The 10,649-nt window shown below is 42.5% G+C and overlaps 1 protein-coding gene across 9 annotated transcripts in view; it reads right to left on the bottom strand.

The window, feature by feature from the left end:
* Nucleotides 1–2,338: 2,338 nt before the first annotated feature.
* Nucleotides 2,339–10,649, bottom strand: part of SPMIP3 (sperm microtubule inner protein 3) — a 37,029-nt gene continuing 28,718 nt past the window's right edge. For all 9 annotated transcript variants that reach the window (XM_017000571.3, XM_011544124.3, XM_011544129.4 and 6 more), the window contains one exon: nucleotides 2,339–3,051. In XM_017000571.3, the coding sequence (XP_016856060.1) occupies nucleotides 2,933–3,051 (119 nt within the window). In that variant the 3' untranslated portion in view covers nucleotides 2,339–2,932. The remainder of the gene's footprint in view (nucleotides 3,052–10,649) is intronic.

The following is a 10,649-nucleotide window of genomic DNA, read 5'->3' as shown; positions in this document are numbered from 1 at the left end:
TTAGTAACCCATTAGCAAAATGTTTGCTTACTGCTCCCAGGATTTTATGCTCTGCTGGCCTAGAGACCTTAGTTCCAGAGGGAGGAATGCTTCCACTAGGAGAAACAATGATCCTGCTGGACTGGACTTAAGACTGCTGCCCAGCCATTTTAGGCTCCTCACGCCTCAGAGTCAGCAAGCTAAGAAGGAAGTTATGTTGCTGGTTGGGGCGGTTGATCTGGACGACCAAGGGGAAATTGAACTACTCCACTACTCCACAAAGGAAGAATATTTCTGGGATATGGATCACTTAGGATGTCTCTCAGTATTACCATGTCCCAACCCAATCCAGGCAGGACTACTAATGACCAAACCCTTCAGGAATGGAGGTTTAGGCCACTCCACCTGGTAAAGAACCATGACTGCTGAGTTATGTGTTGAAGTCAAAAGGGATACAGAATGGATAGTAGGAGAAGGCAGCATTTTATAAATATCAGTTGCAACCGTGTGGCCAGTTACAGGAATGAGGACTGTAATTGCCATATGTCCTCATTTTTTTTTAAGACAGAGTCTCGCTGTGTTGCCCAGGCTGGAGTGCAGTGGCGTGATCTTGGCTCACTGCAACCTCCGCCTCCTGTGTTCCAGTGATTCTCCTGCCTCAGCTTCCTGGGTAGCTGGGATTACAGGCACGCACCACCACGCCTGGCTAATTTCTGTATTTTTAGTAGAGATGCAGTTTCACCATGTTGGCCAGGCTGGTCTTGAACTCCTGACCTCAGCTGATCCACCCGCCTTGGCTTCCCAAAGTGCTAGGATTACAGGGGTGAACCACTGCACCCGGCCTCATTTTTTAATAAGCATGTTTGTACGTATACATACATATTTTAGGCAAAAATGTTTGCTTTATTTCCTGTCTTATTCCCTCATCATATAACATAAGATGTACTGACCTTATATATAGTATTTGAGTATTGTTAATGCTACATCATAGTATTTAAGTTATAGACTATCAGAAGAGTAAACATCATTCAAAGACTTCACCTCCTCTTCCGGGAGGTAAACACCCTGGGATTAGTGTGTTTTCGGTTGTGCGCAGAATGTTAATATCATGTTAGGCAGGATTATGACCTTGTTATTTATTTGGAAGTTAAGTATGGTTTAAGATGTTTATGGGTGCCAAGTTGACAAGGGGTAAACTTGTGATGGTTAATTTTTTTTTTTTTTAATCGAGACAGGGTCTCACTCTGTCACCCAGGCTAGAGTCCAGTGGTGTGATCATGGCTCACTGCAACCTCGAACTCCTCAGGCTCAGGTGATCCTCCCACCTTAGCCTCCTGAGTAGCTAGGACTATAGGCATGCACCACCATGCCTGGCTAATTTTTGTATTTATTTGTAGAGGTGGGGTTTCACCATGTTGCCCAGGATGGTCTCAAATTCCTTTCCTCAAGTGATCCACTCACTTCTGCCTCCCTAAGCACAGAAATTACAGGAGTGAGCCCCTATACCTGGCCTGATGGTTAACTTTATTTGTTCACTTGATTGGGCTAAGGGATGCCTAGTTAGCTGGCAAAACATTATTTCTGGGTGTATCTGTGAAGGGGTTTCTGAAGGAGAGTAGTGTTTGAGTCAGTAGACTGAATAAAGCAGGTGTCCTTCACCAACGTGGACAGGCATTATCCAATCCTTTGAGTGCCTTAATAGAACCAAAAGATGGAGGAAGGATGAATTTGCCGTCTCTGGTTGAGCCAGGACATGCATCTTCTCCTGTCTTTTGACATCAGCACTCCTAGTTCTCAGGCCATCAAACTTGGACCTAGACTTACAACATTGGTTCCCCAGTTTTCCAACCTTCGAACTTGGACTGGAACCACACCACCAGCTTTCACGAGCTTCCAGCTTGCAGATGGCAGATCCTGGGACTTCTCAGCCTCCATAATTGCACAAGCCAATCCATCAAAACAAATCCTCATTTCATACATACATACATAATACATATATATATTCTATTTATATATATAATATATCTATTATTAGATTATTAATAATATATCTATTATTTATATATTATATATAAAATAATATATTATTAGATTATTAATAATATATATTATAGATATATAATAATATATATGTATATATATATATATTCTGTTTCTGTTTCTCTGGAGAACCCTATCATTTGATCATTGATTGGCCCTTCACATTTAAGACTAAGGCAATGGAAAACTATATGGAACTCTGCATTCTTGGGAGAAGTTTATCAGTTAATAGGTGTTACTTTAGAGTGAGTGAGGAGGGAGTCAACTAGTATGCTGGGGAACTGGGGGAGGGCAGGGGTCCCTAGAAGCCAAATGTAAGGTTTTTTTCCTTTGGGATTCTTTCCTCTCCCTAGAGAAGACCCTTTAGCTTTCTGCCTGAGGAGCTGATGCCTAGTTGTCAGGCTTTCTTCTTGCCAAGATAGGGGTGCTAACTCCTGGACACAGACTCTCAGTTAATCCTTTTTATCAGTCCCACATCTCGCTACAGCCTCAGGCTACACCTGGGTTTCTCCATCCAGAGCCCCTTGAGGGTCTCCAGTGCCAGTTTTCTTTATAATTGGCCATGTCCCCCCGGTTCTTTTTTTTATTTTTCCCAACAGCGATGCAATTATTGTGCAGACACAATGATCTTCTTACCTGATCCTGCGTATACATTGGCCTAAATGTAAGATAGCTTGCCAGCATCAGCAATAAGACTGGGAGTGGGGCTTAAATTCAAGTTCTCTTAAGGATAGATCTTGATTCCCTGTTCTAAGCTGACCAACTTAATCTGCAAAGAATTTGCAACATGTAAATATTTTAGGATTATAGCCATCTGTATACACACTGAAACTGAAAGTAGTTCTGCTGCCATTAACTTAGTCTAAAAGGGCCACCTAAGAATGCCAAACGTTATTTTGTTCGAATGCCGTGGTTATTTTAGTTTAAAAGCATTTCTTTCAAAGCTGCTTCTCTCTTCACAACAGTAGAGCTCTGGCAGTGAATTAAGCGGTCGAGGATTCAGCGAAACTGTGGCTAATTTCTGGTTCCAATCTGGAATTTAAAACAAATTAAGGATTTATTTAAAGACTACTCACTCCTAATTTTTAACACACTGTCCTTTTAGCAGTTGTGCACAGTAACAAAATAACTTTTGGGGTTTAAGACAAATGAATGCATTTAAAATGTGGGAAAAAGGACTCAGTCAAAAGGTTGTTTCTTTGGTTCAGTCTCTGATTAAGAGGCATATTATTGAATTATGCCAAAATGTAAATAAAATGAAATAAATTACATAAATTTGCATGTCGACATCTCATTCTGTACCCCCAAACCTTTTTAGTCGTACATTATCAGTGCATTATTTTGTATCAAATTGTACTCATTGCCATCCCTAAATTATTTTTTTCTCTTTTTTCAGAGGTTTCTTTGTTTTTTCAAATTTTATTGACTATAAACCTTTGGATTAGAAAAGTTCAATGAACTCCAAACAGAATAAACAAAGTTCAAAACCATACAAAATCAATCACTATGTTATTTAGGAATAGATACGTATATGGTAAAAACAGTCAATAGCAAAGGCAAGATTAACACAAATTCAGAATAGAGAGTACGTCTGGGGGGAAGGATGGGGGGACTCAAAGGCTTTAAGTATATTAGGGAATTATTTTTCACAACTGACCTAAGGAATAAATAAGTATTTTATTATTACTCTTTAAATTGAATATATACAAAATATTTTTTGCAGGTATGATAGATATCACAATAAATAGAAAATAGGCCAGGCGTGGTGGCTCAAGCCTGTAATCCCAGCACTTTGGGAGGCCGAGGCGGGTGGATCATTTGAGGTCAGGAGTTCGAGACCAACCTGGGCAACATGGTGAAACCCCATCTCTACTAAAAATACACAAAATTAGCCGGGCGTGGTGGCAGGTGCCTGTAATCCCAGCTACTCGGTAAGGTGAGGCAGGAGAATTGCATGAACCCGGGAGGCGGAGGTTGCAGTGAGCCAAGATCGCACCATTGCACTCCAGCCTGGGCAACAAGAGTGAAACTTCGTCTCAAAAATAAAAAAAAAAAAAGAGAAAAGCAAAGAAATCAATGAAGTTCATCCATTCTTTTGTGTTACTTATAATAACACAAACTAGAAACCTGGGAGTCACCCTTGACCACTCTCTCACCAACCAAATCCAATTAATTTTCACTTCCTACTTCTCTTCACTCCCCCATCACACCCTGGTCCAGGCCACCTGGACTTCACCTGAAACACTGATATCCTTTCCTCTTCCTTACACTCCTGCTGTAATCCAACCTCCACACAACAGCCAAAGAAAACACTTTACACCTTATCTTTCTTCAACTTGAATCTATTTCACCATCCCTTTTGCTATCAGAAGCAACAGAGTGACAAGTACATTGCCCAGGGCCACACAGCCAGGAAATGGCAGAGGCAGAACTCAAAATCTACTGGTCTTACTTGAGATTTCACATGTCTACACCCACTCTCCTACCTTGGGTGATACTGCCGTTCCTAAATTCATACCCATTGGTGTTCCCTTGTATTTTATAACCTCTAATCTATAATCATTAACAATTTTGCTTATCTAAAAATAAGGGTTCAAAGAGAGCTTCACTTTAATACAATTATTGCTCAAGGAACCAAAGGCTAGTGTTTCAAAAGCATTGTAACAAAACTTTTTTTTTTTTTTTCAGACGGAGTCGTACTCTGTCGGCCAGGCTGGAGCGCAGTGGCGCCATCTCGGCTCACTGCAACCTCCACCTCCCATGTTCAAGTGATTCTCCTGCCTCAGCCAAGTAGCTGGGATTACAGGTGCCCGCCACCACCCCTGGCTAATTTTTGTATTTTAGTAGAGATGGGGTTTTGCCATGTTGGCCAGGCTAGTCTCGAACTCCTGACCCCAAGTGATCCGCCCACCTTGGCCTCCCAAAGTGCGGGATTACAGGTGTGAGCCACTGCGCCCGGCTGCATTGTAACAAAACTTTATTATATTATTAGGTGAATATTAGAGTTTATTACATTAATATTCAGAGTAATTCTCAGTTGTACACTGATATTGCCATCTCAAAAAGATTAATTTGCCCAAGTATACATAGCTTATAAGAGGTGCAGTCCACATCTGACACAGAACAGACTCCAAAATCATTAATCTTTCACTGTTCTAGTCTGCATTCCTTAGTGCTTCAACAGTATCTCAAGAAATAAACATTTCTGGATATTAAGAATGGATAACATTTCACTAACCCAAGGAGTATGACTAGAAATGAGATCTTTGAGGATTTTTAGATTTAATCGAGTGTGATCCTGTCTGTAGTCAGCAACCACATGACTTTTCAAGTTTTTTTATGGAGTCAAATAGCAATGATGGCCTTCTAATTACACTATATTCTGGAAATGTATTAAAGTAATTTAGAAGTGTGAGGAATTCCATTCAGCAACTCCTCATGATCCTTGCAGGCTGTACGATGGGGTTGAATCATACACAACTTAACCAGGTGAACTCAACAGTCAATGTTGTGAGAACAGTGGGTGTTATCAACCCTGAAACGTGCTACACAGATTGGGGATGCTATGAGAAGAAAGTGTGAAATGATTTTTTGGATTTCCTTATCATCAGACAAAATGCAGTTATTGTTCATGTGGATTTGTGGTGGTGACTCCTTTGAAAGTCATTGTTGGAAAATAAAATGAATAATTAGTTGATAACCACAGAGAAACTTTAACCACCTTGCTGAGGATTCTGTGTATTCCAAATATGTTAATGATTTAATATAATATCACTCTTTAACAATCAAGAGTTTTTGTTTGTTTGAGATGGATTTTCACTCTGTTGCCCAGGCTGGAGTGCAGTGGTGCGATCTTGGCTCACTGCAACCTCCGCCTCCTGGGGTTCAAACAATTCTCCTGCCTCAGCTTCCTGAGTAGCTGGGACTACAGGCGTGAGCTAATTTGTGTGTGTGTGTGTGTGTGTGTGTGTGTGTGTGTTTTGTAGAGATGGGGTTTCACTATGTTGGCTAAGCTGGTCTCAAACTCCTGACCTCAGGTGATCCACCCACCTCAGCCTCCCAAAGTGCTGGGATTACAGGTGTGAGCCACCGCACCTGGCCAGTCTAAGATATTTTTCAAGGATTACTTTGATCATGCATGATTTTTACCTTGTGCACCGATTTTAGAAATTAATCTCAGTGATATATGCAATTCCATTGTATTAGTATTTTACAGATATTGATTCTGGCATACATTATTCTTGATCAATAATACTAATAGTAACTAACATTTTTGAAGGCATAGTAATAGTACATACAGGCACAATGCTTACATTCTTTATATGGGTATCTCAATTCTATTAGGTAGATACTATTTTTATGCTTTTCGCAGGTGAGAATATTGAGGGTCAGAGAGCCTAAGGGCCACGCTGTTGGTAAAGGCATATATTTTATTTTGGAAAAATGAGTTATTTGAATTATTTGGCACCAGGGTGAGTAATACAAGGGTAACTTTCCTCTGAGGGGCCATCTTATCCTCCCAGGCTATGAATTCTCTGAGGACAGAGCCTTCTCCATACCCTCCACTCTGTCTTGCACATAGTCAGTGCCCAAAAAATGTTTCCTAAGGAAATCAATGAAATTATATGTGCTGAGAAATAATTTTAACTGAGGAAGAATTTCTTAAGCAATAACCATGATCTATCATGGTCTATATTTAATCAGACACCTCAGAGAACTGAACATAAATGTAAATCCTTGCTAATCTAGACATACCTTCTGCCCTGAAAATCTGATCAAACACTGGCCTAGGCTGGGCACGGTGGCTCATGCCTGTAATCCCAGCACTTTGGGGAGCCGAGGCGGGTGGATCACCTGAGGTCAGGAGTTCGAGACCATGATGGTGAAACCTTGTCTCTACTAAAAATACAAAAATTAGCCAGGCGTGGTGGTGGGTGCCTGTAATCCCAGCTACTCGGGAGGCTGAGACAGAAGAATCTCTTGAATCTGGGAGGTGGAGGTTGTGGTGAGCTGAGATCACGCCACTGCACTCCAGCCTGGGTGACAGAGTGAGACTCCATCTCAAACAAACAAACAAAAACTGGCCAAATGGTTAGGATAAACAGCCTATACTTTGATAAACAACTTAATATTCTTTCTCTTATTCTGTGAAAAACTCCCTCAAGGAGTGCTTGTCAGGCCTCTTGCAGACCAGCCCTTTGCCAGCCTATTGTTGTTTATACAATCATTGCCACCTAAGCATCTCTCAAATGTATCTAAATCTACTGCCAACACCCATCATCTGCTGCCTAAATCACTGCTTCTCAAACTTGGCTGCGCTATGGAATTATCTGGGGAGTTTTAAAAATGACTGATGCCTGGGACCCCCACTTTGCCGCCCCACACGGAGATCCTGATTTAACTGGTATTGGGTATAGCCTGGGCGTCCAGATTTTTTAAAACTCCAAGCAATGTAACCAAAATTAAGAATGTTTAACCTGGCCAGGTGTGGTGGCTCATGTCTGTAATCCCAGCACTTTGGGAGGCTGAGGTGGGCAGATTGCTTGAGCCCGGGAGTTTGAGACCAGCCTGGGCAACATAGTAAGAACCTGTCTCTACAAAAAATACAAAAAGTAGCTGGGTGTGGTGGCTCATGCCTGTAGTCCCAGCTACTCAGGGGGCTGAGGGAGGAGGATCACTTGAGCCTGGGCTGCCAAGGCTGCGGTGAGCTGAGATTGCACCACTGCATTCCAGCCTGGGCAATGGGAGTGAGACCCTGTCTCAAAAAAAGAAAAAAACTTTAACCACTGCAATTTCCTCCTGACTCTCCACATTCAATCTTCGCCCCATGCTGCTCCCCACCCTGCCCCTCCTTTTCTTCTCCACAGTTAGAGGAACATTTTCAAAATGAATTTTTTTTAATTTTTTATTTCCATAGGTTTGGGGAGAACAGATGGTGTTTGGTTACATGGTAAGCTCTTTAGTGGTGATCTGTGAGATTTTGGTACATCCATCACCCGAGCAGTGTACACTGAACCCAATTTGTAGTCTTTTATCCCTCACAAAATGAAATTGTAATCATTACTTCTGCCTTCCTTAAAACTTTTCAACAGTTTCCCATTATTCTCAGACTAGAGGCCAAACCCTGAATATGACCTGTAACGTCTTTCATACTCTGGTCTTTCTTCCCATCCCTCCACCGCACCCTGCTCCATGATCCCTCCTGATTCCTATACTCCAGCACACCCTTATTGTTTTTAGTTCCTCAAACATGTCATGCTCCTTCCTGCCACAAGGCCTTTGCACATGCTGTACTCTCTATGAACCTGTTTCCCCACTCTCTGCCCAGTTAACTTTTAGCTTATCCTTCAGCTCTTGGCTCATCATTTCCTAAGGGAAGCTTTCTCTGACTTACTATATGCTCCTATAACCCCATATAAACTCTGCCTTATAGCATTTAAGGCAGGTAGACTTTTATGGTTATTTATTTTTTTAGAGTTGGGGTCTTGCTATGTTGCCCAGGCTGGAGTGCAGTAGTATAATCATACCTCATGCAGCCCCAAACTCCTGGGCTCAAGCAGTCCTCCTGACTCAGCCTCCTGAGTAGCTTGGACCACAGGGGCCACTACACCCAGTTAATTTTTAAATTTCTTTTGTAGGAGTGGGTTCTCACTGCGTCGCCCAGGCTGGTCTCAAACTCCTGTCCTCAAGCTGTCCTCCCACCTCGGTCCCCCAAAGTGCTGGGATTACAGGCATGCACCACCACACCCATCCATGGTTATTGAGTGTAGAAATCTTGTGTCTATTTTTGCTTCATGTGGTATGGCTAAAAGCTGTCACATTGACTGGCACTTAAATAGGCCCTCAAATTATTTCCTGAAGGAATATGTGTGGGTAAGTGAAAGTGTTCTTGATATCAAATATATCACCAAGTCCAGTTGATGCCACCCCCAAAATATCGCTGGAATCCATTTATTCCTCTTTATCTTCCCTGCTGGTCCCAGCCACCATCATCTCTGGTCTAACCTATTAAATTGTTTCTCAGTGGTCTGCCTGAGAAACTTTTCCCCTCCATTTAGCAGTGTCTTCACAGCAGCCAGAGGGCCGGGCACGGTGGCTCTTGCCTGTAATCCCAGCACTTTGAGAGGCCAAGTCAGGCAGATCACGAGGTCAGGAGATTGAGACCATCCTGTCCAACATGGTGAAACCGCACCTCTACTAAAAATACAAAAATTAGCTGGGCCTGGTGGTGCGCGCCTGTAGTCCCAGCTATTTGGGAGGCTGAGGCAGGAGAATCGCTTGAACCCGGGAGGTGGAGGTTGCAGTGAGATGAGATTGCGCCACTGCACTCCAGCCTGGGCAACAGAGCAACACTCCGTCTCAAAAAAAAAAAAAAAAAAAAACAGCAGCCAGAGTAATACAAATAATGCCGTTAAAATATAAGATGCCACTCTTCTGTTAAAAATCCTTCAATGTCTTACCATTGCTCGTAGAATAAAATCCAGTTGTCTGATCACTCTCACTCGTTACCCACCAAACAACACTGGTCTCCTTTCTATTCCTCAAATATGCCAAGCCCTTCCCAGTTTCCAGGCTTTTGCACTTACTGTTACTTTTGCCTGAAATGCCCTTTATATGACTCATTCTTATTTTTCAGGGCTTAGCTAAAATTGCATAGACATTTTCCCGGACTGCCCTATTTAAAGTAACTTCCTTTAGCTATCCTCATCTCCCTGCTTATTTCCCATATAGCACTACCACAATCTATGATTTGAAAAAAAAAAAAATGCACTTGGCTATGCTGTATATCCCCCACCAGAATGTCAGCCCTGCGGAAGCAGGTATCTTGTCTTCCCTGGTCACTGTATTCGGCAGATAGCAGTGTCTGGTTCATAACAGTTGCTCAACAAACAACTAAATCATACTGGGGTCACCAGCTTCCAGCATGGACCCCAGTGATTCTTGCCCCCTGGTATTCATGCCTTGTGTAATCCTCTGCACACTGCTTTAGAGCTGGCTGTATGTGACTAACAGGATACATCAGAAGTGACAGTGTGTGCTTTTGTTTTTGTTTTTTGAGACGGAGTCTTGCTCTGTCACTGTCATGCGCAGTGGCATGACCTCAACTCACTGCAACTTCCACCTCCTGGGTTCAAGCAATTCTCCTGCCTCAGCCTCCCAGGTAGCTGGGATTATAGGTGAGTGCCACCACACCCAGCTAATTTTTGTATTTTTAGTAGAGATGGGGTTCTGCCATGTTGGCCAGGCTGGTCTCGAACTTCTCACCTCAGGTGATCCTCCCGCTTCGGCCTTGCAAAGGGCTAGGATTACAGGCATGAGCCACTGTGCCAGGCCTCATCTTTCAACTCCTGCACCTCTATTTGGTATTTAGTCAGTTCCCAAGCCTCATCTTCCCAACTGGATTGTGAGTTCCCTGCAGGACTGAAATCATCTCCTGGACTTTCTATGTCCCGGCACAATACATAGCAGGTGGTGAGTATTTCATTGCTTTGCTAAAATTTATTTAGCTCCATAGGTTTGGAAAGAATTAAAAACTGTTTTCTAAACTAAGCAAGGGAGAACACCTTTTGTGTCTGTTTGTCTGTCTATGAGATCTCATAGCAGAGGAGTTGCAAAGAAGGTCCTGTTGA

This window comes from Homo sapiens, chromosome 1 (genome assembly GCF_000001405.40).
Source record: "Homo sapiens chromosome 1, GRCh38.p14 Primary Assembly".
Classification (NCBI taxonomy): Eukaryota; Metazoa; Chordata; class Mammalia; order Primates; family Hominidae; genus Homo; species Homo sapiens.
This window is presented reverse-complemented; position numbering and strand designations above follow the sequence as displayed.